Below are 22,743 nucleotides of genomic sequence, written 5' to 3'. Positions count from 1 at the left end.
AGAAAGTCATTGGTAGCTTGATGGGGATGGCACTGAATCTGTAAATTACCTTGGGCAGTATGGCCATTTTCACGATATTGATTCTTCCTACCCATGAGCATGGAATGTTCTTCCATTTGTTTGTATCCTCTTTTATTTCCTTGAGCAGTGGTTTGTAGTTCTCCTTGAAGAGGTCCTTCACATCCCTTGTAAGTTGGATTCCTAGGTATTTTATTCTCTTTGAAGCAATTGTGAATGGGAGTTCACTCATGATTTGGCTCTCTGTTTGTCTGTTGTTGGTGTATAAGAATGCTTGTGATTTTTGTACATTGATTTTGTATCCTGAGACTTTGCTGAAGTTGCTTATCAGCTTAAGGAGATTTTGGGCTGAGACAGTGGGGTTTTCTAGATATACAATCATGTTGTCTGCAAACAGGGACAACTTGACTTCCTCTTTTCCTAATTGAATACCCTTTATTTCCTTCTCCTGCCTAATTGCCCTGGCCAGAACTTCCAACACTATGTTGAATAGGAGTGGTGAGAGAGGGCATCCCTGTCTTGTGCCAGTTTTCAAAGGGAATGCTTCCAGTTTTTGCCCATTCAATATGATATTGGCTGTGGGTTTGTCATAGATAGCTCTTATTATTTTGAGATATGTCCCATCAATACTTCTCAAAAGAAGACATTTATGCAGCCAAAAAACACATGAAAAAATGCTCATCATCACTGGCCATCAGAGAAATGCAAATCAAAACCACTATGAGATACCATCTCACACCAGTTAGAATGGCAATCATTAAAAAGTCAGGAAACAACAGGTGCTGGAGAGGATGTGGAGAAATAGGAACACTTTTACACTGTTGGTGGGACTGTAAACTAGTTCAACCATTGTGGAAATCAGTGTGGCGATTCCTCAGGGATCTAGAGCTAGAAATACCATTTGACCCAGCCATCCCATTACTGGGTATATACCCAAACGACTATAAATCATGCTGCTATAAAGACACATGCACACATATGTTTATTGCGGCATTATTCACAATAGCAAAGACTTGGAACCAACCCAAATGTCCAACAATGACAGACTGGATTAAGAAAATGTGGCACATATACACCATGGAATACTATGCAGCCATAAAAAATGATGAGTTCATGTCCTTTGTAAGGACATGGATGAAATTGGAAATCATCATTCTCAGTAAACTATCGCAAGAACAAAAAACCAAACACCGCATATTCTCACTCATAGGTGGGAATTGAACAATGAGATCACATGGACACAGGAAGGGGAATATCACACTCTGGGGACTGTGGTGGGGTGGGGGGAGGGGGGAGGGATAGCATTGGGAGATATACCTAATGCTAAATGACGAGTTAGTGGGTGCGGTGCACCAGCATGGCACATGTATACATATGTAACTAACCTGCACAATGTGCACATGTACCCTAAAACTTAAAGTATAATAAAAAAAAAAAGTTAATTTTAAAATAAGTAAATAAAACTGATAATTTATTCTCTTTTCCTGTGTCCTGTTTAATCCAAGTAATTTGCTTTTTTTATGAAAAGCAATTTTAAAAAGTAACAGATTAGAGAAGTACCTAATGCCCAAAGTGGCAGGTACTAAGAATGTGAAAATTCAACATATGTGAATGCTAATGTGATAGCATCTATAAAAGTGTAAAATGGGCTGGGCGTGGTAGCTCATGCCTGTAATCCTAGCACTTTTGGGAGGCCGAGGCGGGTGGATTGCCTGAGCTCAGGAGTTCGAGACCAACCTGGGCAACGTGGTGAAACCCCGTCTCTACTAAAATACAAAAAATTATCCAGGTATGGCGGCGTGTGCCTGTAACCCCAGCTACACAGGAGGCTGCAACAGGAGAATCGTTTGAACCTGGTAGGTGGAGGTTGCCATGAGCTGAGATCAAGCCACTGTGCTCCAGCCTGGGTGACAGAGCAAGACTCCATCTCAAAAAAAAAAAAAAAAAAAAAAAAAGTGTAAAATGCACATGCACATAAAATGATCCTACATAAATACATGGATAACTGATGGGATGCCTATAATAATAAAAAACAGAACAGTTTAAATGCCCATTGGTTAGAAGAATAGTTAAATAAATGATGGTATGCATAGAATATGAGGGAACAGTTAAGAACCATCTACTTGGAAAGGCACAGAAAGGTAAGTTCATGATGTTCAGTTAAAAGAAAAAAGTTGACAATGTGTACCCCAAATCCCCTCTTTTATTTTCTTTTTAAAGTGTTTCTGGAAAGACACATACAAAACTTAACTGGAGAGTAGAAATACAAAGAATTTTTTTTAATGTATTTTCATTTTTTACAAATACGGTTTACTTTGGTATTTAGAAAATAAAATGCATTGTTATACTAACTATGAACCATCATTTTTATCTGGGCTTGCAAGGGTCTAAGCTTCAAAGGGTAAGAGACTAAAGTCAGTTATCCAATAACAAAAGAAAATTTTATTTTGGTGGGAAAAGTAGTAGAGCCTGAATAAGTTTCATTTTCAAGAAAGAAATCACTCATTCATCAGATTATCTCAAGTATCTATTTTTTGTAACACTTCTCTAAAAAGAAGAGTGGGGAACTATTTCAACTCCCTTTGTAGCAGCAGTTAGCACACAGACGTTGAAGTTCTCTATAACAAATCTACTTAAAACTCAGAAACTTTTAAGAATTAAATAACCTGTCCACAATTCTATTTTTATATATTAGGGTAATACTGCCTGTAAGTATCATTGCAAATTTCAAAATAAATTTATGTATGAATGAGATAATCCATAAACCACTGAAAGAAAGTATCAGTAACTCCAAGTAAGGTTATTTCAATAGTGATTTTAAAACAACATAAGCAGCTTACAACATTTGGCCTTTAAAAAGAAGGCAAGAGTTCCTTAACCCAATAGCTGGCTCTATCACTTTCATGAAATAAAATATTTTAGTTTACTTTAAAAATAACAATCAATTTTTTTTTTTTTTTAAGAAGGAGTTTCACTCTTGTTGCCCAGGCTGGAGTGCAATGGCGCAATCTTGGCCCACCGCAACCTCCGCCTCCTGGGTTCAAGCAATTCTCCTGCCTCAGCCTCCCGACTAGCTGGGATTACAGGCATGCACCACCACACCCGGCTAATTAGTAGAGATGGGGTTTCTGCATGTTGGTCAGGCTGCTCTTGAACTTCCAACCTCAGGTGATCCGCCTGCCTCAGCCTCCCAAAGTGCTGGGATTACAGGCATGAACCACTGCGCCTGGCAACAATCAATTTTTATCTTGTTTTATTTACAGGCAGAACTGCATGAATTCAGAGCAAAGGGGAATTTAAACTGACAGATTCATATATTTAGAAAAAATGCTTATTAGGTTTTAGAAGAATAATCTCTGAAACAGAATTTCTTTTTTTTTATTTTTTATTTTTTTATTATTATACTTTAAGTTTTAGGGTACATGTGCACAATGTGCAGGTTAGTTACATATGTATATTCTACACATAATTTTACTGTAAGAGGACATTATAAACACATTAACCCAATAACTGGCACTTATACCATTTTCGAGTTGAACTACTGACACCTCTTCTAGTGTCTCCATTTAACCACAAACTTGAAATAGAAGAAAATAACCTTTCTCTTCCCTACCCTCCCACACTTTTGCTCCCCAAAAACTCATTTGAGGATCATATAAAGAAGGCCGGGTACAGTGTCTCATGCTTCCAATCCTAACACTTTGGGAGGCCAAAGTGAAGGATCACTTGAGGCCAGAATTTCAAAGCCAGCCTGAGCAACACAGGGAGACCCTATCTCTACAAAAAAATTTAAAAATTAGCCAGGCATGATGGTGCTTGCCTGTAGTCCCAGCTACTTGGGAAGCTGAGGTAGTAGGGTCGCTTGAACCCAGGAATTCAGGGCTACAGTACGCCATGATCACATCACTGCACTCCAGCCTGGGCGACAGGGCAAGACCCTGTCTCCAGAAAAAAGAGGAGAAATTAACATACTATCTTATTAGTTATTAGTCATTTTGCAAGTAGCATTTTATAATTGAGAACTATATTATTCTCATGTTCTTTTACAACTAGAAAGGCAGAATAAACACAACATCAGTAGAATGTGTTCCCTAGTACAGGGAATACACAAGCTGAGAACAACACCTAAATGGTGTAACTTACTCATCTGGAGGCCTTCCTGCAGTTAAAGACTTCTAAAACCACAGTATATTTCACACCTAGGATAAATGACCTCTTGATCCCTGCCCTACAAGGCAGAAGTAAGCATGCCAACCCTATAGGAAAGGGTTGCTTTCAATATTTACCTTTGGTTAGAGTTCATAGATGTTCCAAAACTACAAAATCTCAGCCTGACTATTTAGTTCCATTAACTATTCACTCCCTAAACATTCTATAAAAAATTACCTTATTTCTCTAAACTTGGTATATATACTCACATATTTCATTTTCCTAAGTAATCCTTATTTCAAGATTAGTAGAAAGAGTGCTTGAACCCAGGAGGCGGAGGTTGCAATGAGCTGAGATCACGCCACTGCGCTCCAGCCTGGGCAACACAGTGAGACTCCGTCTCAAGAAAAGAAAAAAAAAAAAAAGTATATCACTGGTGAATGAATTCACACAACTCACCTGCACACCTACAGTTTTAATTGGCAGCAAGAAGGCATTCAGTGAATGCAGACTGGTAATTTGCATCAGCTTCTCCTGATCCTCTTCTGTTGTGCAGGCTTTGACTCTCTGTAATAGGGTATGTGGCTGAGAAAAACCAAAGAGGCATTTTTTCAGTTTTAAGAAATAAGGTATTCACTCTTTTATTATCTACTACTATCTTATGTATTTTACTGGTTTTTAGCAGTGGATTGTATTTGGTATCTCCTTGAGTTGTGTGTGCTATGCACTATGCCAGAAATTCACACCTGAGGGCTAGGACTATGAAGAAGTCTTAGGATAAGAAATGCAGATTATATTTACATACATTCAGGCTTTAGTACCCTGTCACCAGCAAGTGATGCACCTTATCTGAGTCAAATATTATCTTAATGCTTTTTGCCATAAAGTCAGTTTTGTCTGAAATTAATATAGCTTTAGCCATTTCTTTTTTTTTATTTACCTGGTATATGTTTTTCCATTCTTTAATTTTCACTCCTACTATCCCTAGGTATTAGTAATGCCTGTTGTGAATAGACTATACCTTTCATGTCTACTATTCTATACTAAGCAGATTTTAGTTTTCAATCTAGTTTGACTGTCTATGTCTTAACTAGGAATGTTATAGTCCTTTTAATTAATTATAGGTTATCAATATAGTTGAATTTCATTCTACAATCTTTTTCTGTAATTATCTATTTAACCCATTTTTTACTCTTACTCCTTTCTTGCTGTCTTTTGAACTGGTGATTTCTCCCAGCTCATTTATTTCCTCTTTACCGGTTTTGAAGTTAAATCCTCTATTTCTATTCTTGCAGTAGTTGTCCTTAAGTGTTAACAAGGATACTTAAAAGATAATCAATCTTCTGTCCTTCTGGCAAATAACACAGACATCTTTGAATTCCTTAGCTCAAATCAATCCCTTTGTGGCTTACATGTTACTTCAGCTAAACATTGTTACACATTTTCTAATAAACAAGAACAAGTAGATATCATTTTTACCTCTACTCTCGATTTTATAATCATTTTTATCATTTTATACAGTCCATGTTTGTTTCAGTTTTAGTCATTTACCATTTTCCTTGCTTAGCATTCCTTCTTGTATCTCATGACTTTCTCCTGGCATCCTGCTGCTTCTCCTCAAGTCAGTTCTTTAAAACAATGGTTCTCAGCCGGGCCCAGTGGCTCACGCCTGTAATCCCAGCACTTTGGGAGGCCGAGGCGGGTGATCACCTGAGGTCGGGAGTTTGAGACTAGCCTGACCAACATGGAGAAACCCCGTCTCAACTAAAAATACAAAATTAGCCAAGCGTGATGGCACATGCCTGTAATCCCAGCTACTCGGGAGGCTGAGGCAGGAGAATCGCTTAAACCTGGGAGGCGGAGGTTGCAGTGAGCCAAGATCGTGCCATTGCACTCCAGCCTGGGCAACAAGAGCAAAACTCCATCTCAAAAAACAAACAAACAAAAAAAAAAACAATGGTTCTCAACCTTAACTGCACAAATTACTTGGAATGCCCAGGTCCCATCTCAGACCAATTAAATTCTAGGGCTATATGTCAAGAATAGTATACTTCAAAAGCTTCCCCAGATGATTCTAACATACAGCCAGGGTTGAAAATCATTGCCTTTAGTTTCTTCAGTAAGGGACTGTTGGTAGTAAATTCTATTTAATCTCGAAATAACTTTATTTTGCCCTTGTTTTTAAAAGACAGTTTAGCTGTTCACTACAGTTAATTATTTTCTCTTGGTATTTTGAAGTCTTGCCTTTACTGTTTCAGTATAATTTCCTGGGTAGGTAATTGATCTGTTCTCCGCAGCTGCTCTGTCTTTGGCAGTCTTTAATTTCTCTAAGATGTGCTTACTAGGTGTCAAATTCTTTCCCTTTATTCTGCTTGAGATGTGTTACATTTCCTGAATCTGAGCCATCATGTCTTTTACCAGTGTGGAGGAATTAATACATTTTTTTCTATTATTTCCTTCTGGACATATGTTAGCACTTGCCTTATCCTTCCATCTTAACCTTTTCTACCCATATTTTCTTTATGATGATTTGTCCTAATTTCTGGATAATCTCTAAACAACTTTCTTTTAGTTCATTAATTCTCTCTTTCAGCTGTTTTTCAGTTATTATTTTCATTCCCAGAACTTAGATTATTTTCAAATCTGCCCAGTTATTTTTAGTAGTCTCTTATACATTATTCTTATTATGAATAGCTTATTTCTATTTACTTTACATATTGCTTGTTAATTCCAGTAAAGTCTTGAGGGTCTTGTTCTGACAGTTTTTTCCTTTCTCATTCATGGTGCCATACTTCTATATGTGATTTGTATTTTTTATTATAACCTCATATTTGTTGGAAATCTATCTATGAGAATCCTTTGGGACCTAGGTGAAGATATTCTAAAGAGAATCTGCATTTTTCCTTGCCTAACTCCCATAAGCACTACCAACCCAGATCCACTTTAAAATTATTTCGTTGCAATTTTCAGACCACACACATTACATAAATTAAAACCCCAAATCTGTAGAATAAAGTAGACTGGGGAATTTTTCCATTCATCTTCAATTTGGAGCTAAAGGGTTGCATAGTGTGAAGATATCTGATCCAATCTCTGGCCCTTCTTGGACCCAGTCTCATACTCAGACACCTGTACATGAATGAAATTGTAAAAACCCAAATCCTAGACCACAAAGGATTAGTAGCTGTCCTCAGAGGAGCAGACAGCTTTGGTTTCTTGAAATGATGCTCCCAATAAATTCCTGACTCAAAGGATTTCCCTTACTATCTTGAAATACACATAAAAGAGTGCTTTAAAATACTTTATCTGACATTTTTAGAGACTCAGGATATCCAGTCTTGTTTGGCTGGAAAGAAAAATATGCATATAAGAATATCTGTGGAATATTTTCTCCACAGTCATTTCAAAGGTTATATTACACCAAATTTTCAAATAATAAAACCCTAAAAAATTCATTATAAATGCTGGTATATAATAAGAATCCGTTCAATTTCTTGTAATGATTAGCTGTATCAAATATTACCTTTTTAACACTTGCAGAAAAATCAGCTACTATTTTCAAAATATTGTTGGTTTCAGGAAAGTCCTTACAAATATAAGGTTCTTCAGCACATATTACTCTGATTGCCAGGCCAGGACCTAAAGGTAGGAGTAATAATAGTATTTAACATTAATGTTATATTTCTAATATAAAAATCTAATATAAAAATGCCACTAGTTTCAAAACATAAAACCTTTCCAAAATTAAAATCCATCTGCCCATCATAAGTATCCAAATGTAGCTATTAGTTTCCCATTCAACTCAGCATTTTTTAGAATGCTTCAACATTCTAAAAATGTTGTAACATTTAGAATGCTGCAACATTTAAATTATGCATACGTTTTAGTCTGCATAACTTTTTGGCATATTAATCTCTGTCCCTAAGTTTCTTCATCTATAAAACAGGGTAATACTATCATAGTTTCCATTGTGAGGCTCAAATAAGACAGTATGTTTAATTCTCTCCCTATCATTCCTATCTCCCTTTTTTTAAGAGATAGAGTCTTGCTCTGTCACCAAGGCTAGAGTGCAGTGGTGCAATTATTGCTCACTGCAGCCTCAAATTCCTGAGCTCAAGCAGTCTTCCCACCTCAGCCTCCTAAATAGCTTGGATTACAAGCACCGGCAGCCATGCCTGGCTAATTTTTTCAGTAAAGATAGGGGTTTCACTATGCTGTTCAGGCTGGTCTTGAACTCCAGAAGCTCGGCTTCTGGAAATGCTGAAATTACAGGCATGAGCCACTGACTGCACTTGGCCTATCCTATTTTTACAGTCCATGTATTAAGTATCACAAAATTATCCAGTAAATATTTTTAGTTTATAACATATGTGCTCATCCAAAGTTTTTAATAAGGGAATTTTCCAACATATACATAAAGAGGACAGTATAATTAACTACCTTACTTATCATCCAGCTTCAACTATCAATCTAATTTTAGGAATGGTATTATACTGTTAAAATATACACATAATCTAATAAATAATGTGAGTTTTTAATACCAAAAAATGTGAACTGGTATTTCTATTTTATTTTGACAGACTCTCATTCTGTCACCCAGGCTGGAGGGCAGTGGCACGATCTCAGCTCACTGCAACTTCCACCTCCCAGGTTCAAGAGATTCTCCTGCCTTACCCTCCCCTAGCAGCCACCAGTGTACCTAGTACAGGCATGCACCACCATGCCCAGCTAATTTTTTGTATTTTTAGTAGAGATCGGGTTTCACCGCGTTGGCCAGGCTGGTCTGGAACTCCTGACCTCAAGTGATCTGCCTGCCTAGGCCTCCCAAAGTGCTGGAATTACAGGCATGAGCCACTGTACCCAACCTCTATTTTACCAAATACTTAAAAGTTGATAAAAACACAAGGTGTGCATAGATCTATGGAAAACTGGATCCTGCTGCTTTACTACAACAGAAAAGGCATCACTTGAGATGCCTAGTTATAGGCAAAACCTCAGCTATGTCCAATTAATTCCCTAGTCCATTCTTTACCTTTAGAATAAACAGCATACTTAAGATAGTTTTTAAAGCAGTAAAACCATTTTTGCCAATGAAGTCTTACATAATAGAAAACTCAACATACAAAATAGATTTTTAAAACATCAAGTGAGTCTAGATGAAATAATGACCAAGGACATAGAACACTTGGCTTCCCTCCATTACATTCACAGATCATTCTTTTCTTTTTTTTTTTTCTTTTTTTTTTTTTTTAAGATGGAGTCATGCTCTGTTGCCCAGGTTGGAGTGCTGTGGTGTAATCTTGTCTCACTGCAACCTCTGCCTCCCGGGTTCAAGCGATTCTCCTGCCTCAGCCTCCCGAGTAGCTAGAATTACAGGCACATGCCACCACACCTGGCTAATTTTTCTATTTTTAGTAGACTCAGGGTTACAGGCATGAGCCACCACACCGGTCCACAGACCATTCTTCGCCGGCATGCAGGTTAGGGACTAAAGATCTCAATCTGATTACTTGATTTGAGAACAAGTGCTAATCACCACATAGGTTATACATGTGTAAAGCTGTTTATGGAGCCAATATGATCATTAAGAGTATAAACTCTGAGATAAAAATTATTGGGGATATCATTCTGGCTCCACTCCTTTCAATCTGCATAACTTTTGGCAAATTAGTCGCTGTCCCTAAGTTTCTTCATCTGTAAAACAGGATAATAGTAGTTTCCACTGTGAAGATTAAATAAGACAATAAAATGTATTTAGCAGAGTGCCTAGCACATAGAAAGTACTTAAGAAATGTTGGCTATTATTATGCTTTTCAATTCAATTAGGTCATTCTCCCAAATCATCCCCTAATCACTATTACAGTGAGCTAGAACCTGATGTACAGACTTGCCCAACCTCTCAAGAACTAGTAACAAAAACAGGTTAAGACTTGCAGTCCTAACTTTAAACAAGTATCACCTCTAATTTTTTTCTATATGACAGCAAATGAAGTATTATTTGTTCAGGAATTAGTTACATTGTGCCAGGAATTCTCTGCACAGAATAAGTGGTTCATCCATTCAAACAAGTCAGACATAGGACAAGGATTTTAAAGAGCTAAATTTAAATCCTCACATCTTCCATGGAACGCACTGCGGTATGGTACAAATAATATAACAAATCCTAGCTCTACTACTAGGACTGTGTGGCAATATTATTAAAATATCTTTATGTCTTGGTTTTCTCATCTGATGGCAACATCAGATGCCAGACTCCCAAGGATAATGTAACACTTAAATGCAGATACAATGGAAAATGAGTATTTAATAAAATGAAGTAAATACAGTAGATACTCAAAAGATTTCAATTATTCCCTAACCATCCTTTCCTTTCTCTCATGTTACATATTCCCTGAGATGACAGATTATTTCAGAATTGTCTGAATTGATTTTTCTTCAACATGAAGGTCTAAAGATGAATCAAACAAAATTCAGTTCTAATTTTTACCTGGAAATGGATGCCTGGAAACTAACTCTTCTGGAAGTCCAAGTTCTCTGCCCAAAATTCTCACTTCATCTTTATGAAAATCTTTCAGAGGTTCTATTACTTTTCCCTACAGGGAGGAAAGAAGCCAACCAATATAAACTAGTAACCAAGATGACATGGAAAACAAAGCGTAATAAATTATTGGCTTTTCCTGTTACCACTTTTCTTAGACTAACAGATTATTACTAAAAATGCATCTTTTAAAGTATTTGTTCCTAAGTGCCTATAAGGAATTAGACGAATATCTTATGGGTATTATTTCTCTTTGAAGCACATTTTAAACATAAGCTTTTTAAATATAAATAAATCAGGGTAAACCAATCCATCATCTCTGATCTAATTCTCATTAGAATACAAAGCAATTAGAAAATATACTAGTGTTCCAAAATTATAATTCTCCAAATGTTATCATTGAGAAAATGAAGACAACTCACAGAACTAGAGAAGACATTTGCAAGTCGTATATCTGATAAAAGACTTGTAACCAGAATATATAAAGAACATTTACAACTCAATAATAAAAAAATAAATAAGTCAATTAAAAAATAAGCAAAGCTAATGGGTACTAGGCCTAATACCTGGGTGATGAAATAATCTGTATAACAAACCCCTATGACACAAGTTTACCTATGTAACAAACCTACACTTATATCCTCGAACTTAAAATTATTTTTTAAAAAAAGGAGCAAAGGATACGAATAGACATTTCTCCAAGATACACAAATGGCCAATAAGCAAGAACATGAAAAAATGCTCAACATCATTAGCTATTAGGGAAATGCAAATCAAAATGAGATATACCACTTCATATACACTAGGATGACTAACATTTTTATTTACTTTTTTTTAAGACAGAGTCTCGCTCTGTCGCTCAGGCGGGAGTGCAGTGGCATAATCTTGGCTCACTGCAACCTCTGCCTCCCAGGTTCAAGCAATTCTCCTGCCTCAGCCTCCAGAGTAGCTGGGACTACAGGCATGCACCACCAAACCTGGCTAATTTTTTTGTATTTTTAGTAGATACAGGGTTTCACCATGTTGGCCAGGCTGGTCTCAAATTCCTGGCTTCAAGTGATCCACCTGCCTCAGCCTCCCAAAGTGCTGGGATTATAGGCATGAGCCACTGTGCTGAGCCAGATGACTAAAATTTTTAAAAGTCAGATAACACAACCATAAAAAAATAGAAAATAACAAATTGTAAGCATTTGGAAAAATTGGAGTCATTATGTACTTTTGGTTAGATTGTAAAATGGTGCAATTGCTATGGACAATAAGTTCCTCAAAAAAATTAAAAAGAGAACTACCATATGATCCAGCAATCCCAATTCTGGGCATATATCCAAAAGATAAACAAAAATGGATAGGCAAAATGTGTTATATACATATAGTAGTACATTACTCAGTCTGTTTTGTTTGTTTGTTTGTTTTTTTGAGACAGAGTTTCACTCTTGTTGCCCAGGCTAGAGTGCAATGGCAGTCTTGGCTCATTGCAACCTCCGCCTCCAGGGTTCAAGCCATTCTCCTGCCTCAGCCTCCCAAGGAGCTGGCATTATAGATGCCCGCCATCACGCCTGGCTAATTTTTGTATTCTTAGTAAAGACGGGGTTTCATCATGTTGACCAGGCTGGTCTCAAACTCCCGACCCCAGGTGATCCACCCGCCTCAGCCTCCCAAAGCGCTAGGCATGAGCCACTGTGCCTGGCCCATTTTTCAGTCTTAAAAAAGAAGGAAATTCTGTCACATGCTACAACATGAATGAACCTTAAGGACATTATGCTAAGTGAAATAAGCAAGTCACAAAAAGGCAATACTGTATGATTCCACCTATATGAGGTATTTAAAGTAGTGAAACATAGAAACAGAAAGCAGAATGGTGGTTACCAGAGGGTGGGGGCCAGAAAAAAGGGAGAGTTGTTTTTTAACGGGTATAGAGTTTGTTTTGCAAGATGAAAAGTTCTGAAGATCTGTTTTACAACAATGTGAATACACCTAACACTACTGAACTATATACTTAAAAATAGTTAAGATGAGGCTGGATGCAGTGGCTCACACCTGTAATCCCAGCACTTTGGGAGGCAGAGGCAGGCGGATCACCTGAGGTCAGGAGTTGAAGACCAGCCTGGCCAACATAGTGAAACCCCATCTCTACTAAAAATACAAAATTAGCCGGGCCTCGTGGCGCATGCCTGTAATCCCAGCTACTTGAGAGGCTGAGGCAGCAGAATCTCTTGAACCGGGAGGCAGAGGTTGCAGTGAGCCGAGGTCGCATGACTGCTCTCCAGCTTGGGCAATAGAGTGAGACTCTGTCTCAAAAAAAAAAAAAAATCAGAGTTAAGATGGTAAGCTTTATGTTATGTGTTTTTTACAATAAGAAAAGAGATAACAACAAGTCTTGGTGAGGATGTGGAAAAATTTGAATCTCATAGATTGCTAGTGCGAATGTAAAATTGTATCATCATTTTAAATAATAGTTTGGCAATTCATCAAAATGTTAAACCTTAAGACCTAGCAATTCTACTCCCAGGCATATACCAAAAGAAATAAAAACACATATCCACAAAAACTTATGACCAGTATTCATGGCGGCATTACTTATAACAGCCAAAAAGTGGAAATAACCCAAAAGCCCATCAGCTGATCAAAGGATAAATACAATGCATTATACCCATAAGATGGAATATTATCTGGCAATAAATAGGAATAAAGTTCTGATACATGCAGCAACATGGATGAACCTTGAAAACATTACGGTAAGTAAAAGAAGCCAGTCATAAAAGACCACATATTGTACCATTCCATTTATATAAAATGCCCAAAATAAGCAAATCTATAGAGACAGAAAATAAATTAGTGGTTGGTAATTGCCTAGGGCTGGCAAGAAAGGAGGAAAGGAGGAGCTGGGGGGTGGGGGCAGGATGACAATGACAACAACAGGTAGAACGAGGAGTGACTGCTAATGGGTATAAGGTTCCTTTTTAGGGTAAGGAAAATGTTCTAAAATTAGATGTGGTGATGGTTATGCAATTCTGTGAATATTAGAGGGAAGAGGAGGGAAGAATGGAAGACTTTCCATGTATCTACTTTATGAAAAAGTTTTCATAAACTTTTACCTCCTCTCTCAACTTTCTGATGAGCTCTGTGTCATTGTGATGGGTTTTGATGAGTTCAGCTTTGCCACTTGCAACAAGGGATGCACTTTCAATTAGATCAGGCCGTAAAGTACCTTGGGCAAGGAAAACCTCCTCTGGTTTCAAGTTCATTTCTCCAATTACTTCATTGGCAATCTATAATCAACAGGAGTAAAACAGCCTTGTAAGAGATAACTTTTTTTAAAAGCAAAAGTTTATACTTTCAGCTAAATCTCTTAGAGTCCTTTAGAAATACTGATCAGAAAATAAAATCCACCAATCTCCAAAATAAACTCCTTAATGAACATGTCCTCTAACACGATTCAAAAAGGTACATGAGGCCAAACACAGTGGCTCACGCCTGTAATCCCAGCACTTTGGGAGGCTGAGTGGGGTGGATCACTTGAGGCCAGGAGTTCGAGACCAGCCTGGCCAACATGATGAAACACCATCTCTACTAAATATACAAAATTAGTGGCCAGGTGTGGTGGCTCACGCCTGTAATCCCAGCACTTTGGGAGGCAAGGCAGGCAGATCACAAGGTCAGGAGTTTGAGACCAGCCTGACTAACATGGTGAAACCCCGTCTCTACTAAAAATACAAAAACTAGCCGGGCATGGTGGCACACGCCTGTAATCCCAGCTACTCAGGAAGTTGAGGCAGGAGAATCGCTTGAACCCTGGAGGCAAAGTTTGCAGTGAGCCAAGATTGCACCACTACACTCCAGCCTGGGCGGCAGAGTGAGACTCCATCTCAAAAAAAGAAAAAAATTAGCTGGGCATGGTGGTGCATGCCTGTAATCCCAGCTACTCGGGAGGCTGAGGCAGGAGAATCGCTTGAACCCAGCAGGTGAAAGTTGCCGTGAGCCAAGATCGCTCCATTGTACTCCAGCCTGAGTGACAAGAACAAAACTCCGCCTCCAAAAAAAAAAAAAAACAAAAACAAAGGTATGTGAACATTCCATTCAAGAGCTTGAAATTAGCCATTGAGATAATCAATGAATTAAAGTCTATGATAAGCTGAATACATCTACTCTTAAAGACATCTATTCTTAAAATAATAGCCTGGCAATGTAGGCAAACATGTTTATTAAAACATAAAACAGTTGGCTGGGCATAGTGGCTCACACCTGTAATCCCAGAAGTTCGGGAGGCTGAGGCGGGCGGATCATGAGGTCAGGAGATCCGGACCAACCTGGCCAACATGGTGAAACCCCCGTCTCTACTAAAAGTACAAAAATTAGCTGGGCATGATGGTGCACCCCTGTAGTCCCAGCTACTTAGGAGGCTGAGGCAGGAGAATCACTTGAACCCAGAAGGCAGAGGTTGCAGCGAGCCGAGATCGTGCAACTGCACTCCAGCCCAGCCTGGTGACACAGCAAGACTCTGTCTCAAAAAAACAAAAAAAAAACCAAACAACAACAAAAAAACATAAAACAGTTTCTACTGGTCAATATAATGACAATATACAATAAAACTCTCAGCCACATAAGAAAAAGGATTAAAATTAGCTAATTTGGTTATTTGATATAGTGACAAGGAAAAACAAATACTAAGATTCACATCAAAAATAGTACATGTTGAGGATATTAAAAACAAAGGTACCTTAACAAAAGTATCCCCAATGATTTTTCTTTTCTCTTCAGGACTTGTGGTCATATTTAACGTTTTGCTAATTCTTTTCCGTGGGGTTCTATCTTCATCTGATATTGGTAGGGTTGTTGTTCCATTGTAGAAAGAATGAGCAGCATTTATCACTGGAGGAAAGGGGAGAAGCGTTTTAAATTGGTATAACATGTTTTTTAATCAAAAATAACAAGTCAAAATACAGAAAGAAAAGCTATTTCTTTCCCAGTCTGAAGAGCAGTCCTTTGATCTCCCCTAAATCTGCCTACAAATTTCAATAAACTATCAATATTCAAGAATTATTGGCCGGGCCCGGTGGCTCATGCCTATAATCCCAGCACTTTGGGAGGCCGAGACAGGTGGATCACGAGGTCAGGAGATCAAGACCATCCTGGCTAACATGGTGAAATCCCATCACTACTAAAAATACAAAAAATTAGCTGGGTGTGGTGACGGGTGCCTGTAGTCCCAGCTACTTGGGAAGCCGAGGCAGGAGAATGGTGTGAACCCGGGAGGCGGAGCTTGCAGTGAGCAGAGATTGTGCCACTGCACTCCAGCCTGGGTGACAGAGAGAGACTCCATCCCCAAAAAAAAAATAAGAAAAGAAAAAGAACTATCAATAAATCCTGAGTAACAGAATTCAGATACAGGCACTCATTAAATTTTGTTTCTGTGAGAATCTCCTGGCATTTAGATCTAGGGCCATGACATCACAAATTATGCTGATTAGGGCCGGCACGGTGGCTCACACCTGTAATACCAGCACTTTGGGAGGCCAAGTTGGGTGGATCACTTGAGGTCAGCAGTGTGAGACCAGCCTGGCCAAAATGGCAAAACCACATCTCTACTAAAAACACAAAAATTAGTGGGGCGTAGTGGCACATGTCTGCAATCCCAGCTACTCAGAGGCTGAGGCAAGAGAATTGCTTAAACCTGGGAGGCAGAGGTTGCAGTGAGCCGAGGTTGTGCCACTGCATTCTGCCCTGGGCAACAGAACAAGACTCTGTCTCAAAAAAAAAAAAAAAATTTATGCTGATTGTTTTCCCTCTCTTCAGTGCTTCACCAGAGCAACAAGCAGAAGCCACAGCAAGAAGCTTAGCCCCAAAGAAGTCAAAAGCACCGGCTCCTAAACGGAGTCAAAGCTGTTGGAATCACACCCTAGTGTCTTGTAAAACTAATATTTATGAACATACATTTAACAATCCTTGGCTTTTTATTTAATGACAAGAAACTAAAAACTAAGATCTCTATTTGCTAATAAAACTTAGCTACTGGAGGCCTTCACCGTAAGATGACAAGGCAGCTGGCTATTTCATTGTGGAAAAGCCAGTGAATTTGTAGGTCTTTCCTGTACCTGGTCAACTACCCAGAGAAGACATATCTACTCTCCTGCCTATTGGCATTCTGGCAGTTAAACAGAGGAAGTGGTAGGAAGAGGGAATCACCATTCAGCATAGAGAATTTTACTTAATCCTGTTCTTAATGTAGAGTCTTACCTCCACCCTCAACTATGCCTGGTATTAGTAGGCTCAAGCCCAGAACCTCTCGTTTAGCCCCTCTAGAGAATACATCCACAGTGTTCTGATGGGGAAGGAGAGCACAGTTTGCTCCTGTGCTAAGGAAAAGGATCTGCTTCTCAGATTTTTAACTAATCCCTGTTTTAGGCTAACCCAGAGACCAATGTCCCAAAAAGAACCCAATGCTTCAAATTCCTGAGCCTCCCCAGAAGTCTACAGCACAAATCAGCTTGCTTTTTATTGGCTTCCTTCCCACCCCACCCCAAGGTTGTGAATTCCTCCATTCTGCTATGTCAGTTACCAGGGACAGATCCAAGTTTTACAATTTGAAGGACTCCTTCAAGAACCAGAATAACAAATAAGATACTAAAAATCTTAAGTTATACTGGGATGGCTAACAAGTACTTAACTATACACAGAAATAATTGCAAATCACATATATACCACTAAACCCATACTAAGCACATCCCCAGCTCATCTTTGTCTTAGCCTGATTTCAAAATGCCCACAGCTATTCCAGCACCACCTAACAGAAAACAAGTCAGAGTTGAAAGAAAATAAACAACTACAAATTATCAAAATATCTTGCAAATTTCACAAAAACCTATCACCATGTGAAGATACCATTGGGGACCTTCCCAGGATGTTGGGAGAGACCCCCCTAGCTTAAACAGAGAAAATCCACCTTTACCCATCTGCTTTCCACTTTCCAACACTTTATTGAAACCATCTGTCTTCTGTCATCTCCTCTATCCCACATCCTTAAGGTATTACACTGTTTTATGCTTTTACTGTTATTTTAGAGAAGTTTCAAAAAAATAGACTCATGTTCACATCATACTTACCTACAAGTCTTCATTTTATTCAGCCTTTTGGTATCAATTCCAATTAATTCCATAATATGTACAATAACTTTTATCATTAAACTACTGACCTCATTTCATTATAACTATCAATTGCACCTTGTTTTTAAAAAGTATAAAAGGTATCTACAAAAGTAAATGTTATTAAGGACTAAGAAGTTTACTAGTGGCCCTTTAAAAAAAAAGTATAGAATCTTTACCTCTCCCACAATAAGCTTTTCTGTTTGCAAAATAATCTGTATACCCATACCTGAGGAGGGCTTGGGTAGCCTCGTACATAAATATCATTAAATAGAGTGGGAAAAGATAATTTCTTTTTTTTTTTTTTTTGAGATGGAGTTTCGCTCTTGTTGCCCAGGCTGGAGTGCAGTGGCATGATCTCTGCTTACTGCAGCCTCCACCTCCCAGGTTCAAGTGATTCTCCTGCCTCAGCCTCTCGAGTAGCTGGGATCACAGGCGCCCACCACCAAGACTGGCTAATTTTTTGTATTTTTAGTAGAGATGGGGTTTCATCATGTTGGCCAGGCTGATCTCAAAACTCCTGACCTCAGGTGATCCACCCACCTTGATCTCCCTAAGTGCTGGGATTATAGGCGTGAGCCACCGCGCCTGGCCAGGAAAAGATAATTTTAAAAGTGAATGACTAGAAGAGAACTGAACAGTAGCTAGAAAATGTTAATTTATCAATCTATGTATTAAATTAGCAGAATCAATAGTTTAAAAATTTATACTGAGACCTCTCTTACACCAGAGGTAATTGTAAAAATAAAAAACATTTTCAACCTTGAGCATACTGAGAAAACTGTAATTGTGCTCATTTAAACCATAAGACTAGATTTGATTAAACAAGTCCTAACATGTAAGTTAACTTTTCTGAGGTTCTTCAATACCTTTGACCTGAATTCCAAGCTTTTTGAGGGCCTCTTCAACAGACTGGCTTTCTCGTTTTCTCATAAAGCCATTATCAATGTGCACAGCAATGACTTGTTCTTGGTTCAAAGCACGATTTAGCAAAGCTGTACAAACTGTTGAGTCTACTCCACCACTGAGTAAAACCTACGGGGTAAAATGAAAAATCAAAATGAGCAAAACAAGCAAAAAGAAAATAAACACTATTGGCTTAAATCTTTATCTAAAAGTGCTATTTATACCAAAGATATGTATGGTAACTGGAAAAGCACTCTAAAACTGTAGAACATTTAAGGGCTGTGTTGAGGACTCTAACTCCTGGATTCCAATATTATTGATATAAATTTGTAGACTTCCAGATAATAATTTGCTTACCAAAACTTTTGACGTGCCTACTCTCTCTTTGATCTCTCGAATACACTCAAGTTCTCTGTTCTGCACGGTGAAGGTTCCACTGCATCCAGCTATATCATAAAGGAAATTCTTCAGTATTACTTTTCCATTTTCTGTAAGGCCAACTTCAGGGTGGAACTGTGCTCCATATAACTTTTTAGATTCATTTGCTATGCCTTTATAGAGAAAATAGTCACAAATTAAAATTTTTTCATGCTGAAAAGACTCAAGCAATAACCACAATTAATTTCTCACAATCTCTGCCTCTATGGTTTCATTTTTTTTTTTTTTTTTTTTTTGAGACAGAGTCTTGCTCTGTCGCTCAGGCTGGAGTGCAGTGGCATGATCTCGGCTCACTGCAACCTCTGCCTCCTGGGTTCAAGCAATTCTCATGCCTCAGGCTCCCAAGTAGCTGGCATTACAGGCGTGTGCCACCACGCCCAGCTGATTTTTTGTATTTCTAGTAGAGATAGGGTTTCACTATGTTGGCCTGGTGGCCTCAAACTCCTGGCCTCAAGTGATCCACCTGCCTCAGCCTCCCAAAGTGCTAGGATTACAGGCATGAGCCACTGCTCCCAGCCAATTTTATTTGTTTGTTTGTTTTTTGTTTTGTTTTGTTTTGAGACGGAGTCTCGCTCTGTTGCCCAGGCTGGAGTGCAGCGGTGCGATCTTGGCTCACTTGTCACCTCTGCCTTCCATGTCCAAACTATTCTTCTGCCTCAGCCTCCCGAGTAGCTGGAACAACAGGTGTGTGCCACCACGCTCGGCTTATTTCTTTTATATTTTTAGTAGAGACAGGGTTTCACCATATTGGCCAGGCTGGTCTTGATCTCCTGACCTTGTAATCCGCCCATCTCAGCCTCCCAAAGTGCTGGGATTACAGGCGTGAGCCACTGCGCCCGGCCTATTTTATTTTATTTTTTAGACAGGGTATTTACTGCTCTGTCACCCAGGCTGGAGTGCAGAGGTGTAATCATAGCTCACTATAGTCTCGATCTCCTGGGCTCAAGTGATCCTTCCACCTCAGCCTCCTGAGTAGCTGGAACAACAGGTGCATGCCACCACACTCAGCTAATTTTTAAATATTTTGAAGAGATGGGGTTTTATCTTGTTGCCTGTTGAACTCCTGGGCTCAAGTAATCCTCCTGCCTCGGCCTCCCAAAGTGCTGGGATTACAGGTGTGCGCCACTGCACCCAGCCTTCTTCCTCTATAAATGTTAAAACTGGTATGTCTCAGTAGATTTTTAGCTATAGGAATAGGAAATACATAACAAAGACAAAAACTACATTGCTATAACCTTTCTTTATAAAGGTCTTTCTTGACACAGCAATTAATGAGGTATAGGACGTACATTAAGTCCCACATAGAGATTGTTTCACAGTATTCTCACCTCTCCACCCAAGTTACTTCAGTTGCCTTGTCTATCTAGTGCATTGATAATTCAATTTTGGTTCTCAGTTGCACATGGCTTTCAAATGCATTGTACAGCTACCAAGTTCTTATATTAAAAGAATCTCATATATTAGACTTGTCAGAATATACTGTTTCTTTCTTGACTACTATTAACCACAAAAATATATTCAACTACTTGACAAATGTGTTTCTGGCAAATATTACCTATGGGGCAATAGATGTTAGGCTAGGTATTTTACATGTGCATGTGTTACTCCTATTTTATGGCTCTGAGATATCAAGAAACTTGTATGAACTCTCAGGTAATTAAGTAACTAAATCAGGCCTGACAGGCTCCCAAACTCATACTCATTCTACTATACCACAGTACTTCACACTTTATTTGGCTCTCAGCATACCACTCTCTTGGTTCACTTATTTTACTGTCTATTCCTTCTGAATCTCTTTGCTGGTTCCTCTTCATCTTGCCCACCTCTACACATGGAAGTTACTCAGTCCTCAGCCCTTAAATCTCTTTTCTAAATATTCTAAGAGATCTCATACTCTCATCACCTTAAAATTCTGTCTGTATGCTGGTAAACCCCCAAATTTATACCTCCAGCCCAGTTTTCTCCTCTAAAGTCCAGGCTCATATATACAACTGCCTACTCAGCACCTTTGTTTTGATGTTTAATAAACCATCTTGAATTTAATATGCAAACTCAAACTCCTGAGGTCTTTCCAATCAGGTAAATAGAAACATCTTCCTTTTGGTTCCTCAGGCAAAAAAACTTGGGAGCTAAAACTTGATTCTACTTTTTCTTCCCCACTCCATATTCAATCTAACAGCAAATCCTCTGTCTCTGCCTTCAAAACAGTGGAATCCAATCACTCCTAACAATGTCTACCTCTATCACCCTAGTCCTGACAACTTCTATCTCTGCCACCCTGGTCCTAACAACTTCCTCTTCTACTGCTGTAGAAAAAACCGGGTTCTTTTCACATGACCAGGAAAAGTTAGGCACGCAGACACTTTGAAGGGTAAGGGGGAATGGAATTTATTGAGAAAAAGGGAAAAAAACTCTCAGCAAAGTGAGAAGGCTTCCTGTTAACAGGCCCCCATCTCACAGATTGAATCCGAGGTCACCACACAGGAACAGGAAAGGCCAGGCTCCTCCCTCCTGCAAAGGGTGAGAACTTCCTGTGGCCCCACCCTGTTCTCCCAGTAGGCAGGCTGGTGGGAGATTCTCCAGGTACCCTCCCCTTTATCTTCCTCCTGCATCTATCACTACTATCCTGATCCTGACAACGCTGTCTCTCTCCTGATTACTACAATAAATTCCTAGCTTGTCTTCTTGCTTCTCTTTCACCCTGTATCTTTTCTCCTCATCACAGCTTAATCCTTAAATTAGATCACATCTCTCCTTCACTTAAAACCCCACCTCACTATGAGTAAAGCCAAAGTATTGCAGTGGCCCAAAGGTCCTGTGTTCTGGCATCCAACTACCTCTCTAATTTCACCTTCTTTCACTCTCCCCACCATGCTTACTCTGCTCCAACCACATGGATTCCTGCTGCTCCTCAAATATGGTCCCCACCCAGGATCTCTGTACTGCTGTTTCCTCTTTCCCCAAATATCCAAAAAGGTTAGCACTTATTTTCTTCATGTCCAATGTCATCTTATAGGAATGCCTTCCCTGAATAGCCTATAAAATTGCAACAACCCTAATCACACATATTCCAGAATACCCTCTTCCCCCATTTTTTCAATGTAAACACTATCTGATTCTGACATATTCTGTATTTCTTTATTGTTTACTTTCCCTTTTTCCAGTGTTAAACAAGCATTTTTGCTATATTGGTTTTGGGTTTTGTTTTCTTCTTAGGAGAGAGGGTCTTGCTCTGTTGCCCAGGATGGAGTGTAGGGGCACAACCACAGCTCACCGCAGTCATGATCTCTTAGGGCCAAATGATTCTCCCACCTCAGCCTCCTGAGTAGCTAGGACTGCAAATGTGCATCACCACACCTGGCTAATTTTTTTAAAATTATTTTTATGTAGAGATGGGGTCTCACTATGGTGCCCAGGCTGGATTGAACTCCTGGCCTCAAGCTATCCACTTTCCAGTCTCCCAAGGTGCTGGAATTATAGGTGAGAGCCACCGCACCTGGCCTATTTTATTCATTGCTAAATCCTTGACACCTAGAACTGTGCATGACACATAAT

At 39.0% G+C, this 22,743-nt stretch overlaps 1 protein-coding gene across 6 annotated transcripts in view, besides 1 other annotated feature; it reads right to left on the bottom strand.

Annotated features, from left to right (window-relative positions):
• Positions 1-22,743, bottom strand: part of GMPS (guanine monophosphate synthase) — a 74,591-nt gene that overhangs the window by 14,028 nt on the left and 37,820 nt on the right. For all 6 annotated transcript variants that reach the window (XM_011513263.3, XM_047449145.1, XM_017007422.2 and 3 more), the window contains 7 exons: positions 19,108-19,301; positions 18,714-18,879; positions 15,423-15,574; positions 13,801-13,974; positions 10,655-10,760; positions 7,691-7,806; positions 4,627-4,752 (listed from right to left, as the gene is read on the bottom strand). In XM_011513263.3, the coding sequence (XP_011511565.1) occupies positions 4,627-4,752; positions 7,691-7,806; positions 10,655-10,760; positions 13,801-13,974; positions 15,423-15,574; positions 18,714-18,879; positions 19,108-19,301 (1,034 nt within the window). The remainder of the gene's footprint in view (positions 1-4,626; positions 4,753-7,690; positions 7,807-10,654; positions 10,761-13,800; positions 13,975-15,422; positions 15,575-18,713; positions 18,880-19,107; positions 19,302-22,743) is intronic.
• Positions 21,506-21,772: a silencer, noted in NCBI's record as "fragment chr3:155626010-155626276 (GRCh37/hg19 assembly coordinates)". NCBI's record gives its function as "represses an EF-1alpha promoter that drives an FKBP-Casp9 reporter gene in an ReSE screen in HepG2 liver carcinoma cells {active_cell/tissue: HepG2}" and the evidence as "EXISTENCE:reporter gene assay evidence [ECO:0000049][PMID:32094911]".

Source organism: Homo sapiens, chromosome 3 (assembly GCF_000001405.40).
Source record: "Homo sapiens chromosome 3, GRCh38.p14 Primary Assembly".
Classification (NCBI taxonomy): Eukaryota; Metazoa; Chordata; class Mammalia; order Primates; family Hominidae; genus Homo; species Homo sapiens.
This window is presented reverse-complemented; position numbering and strand designations above follow the sequence as displayed.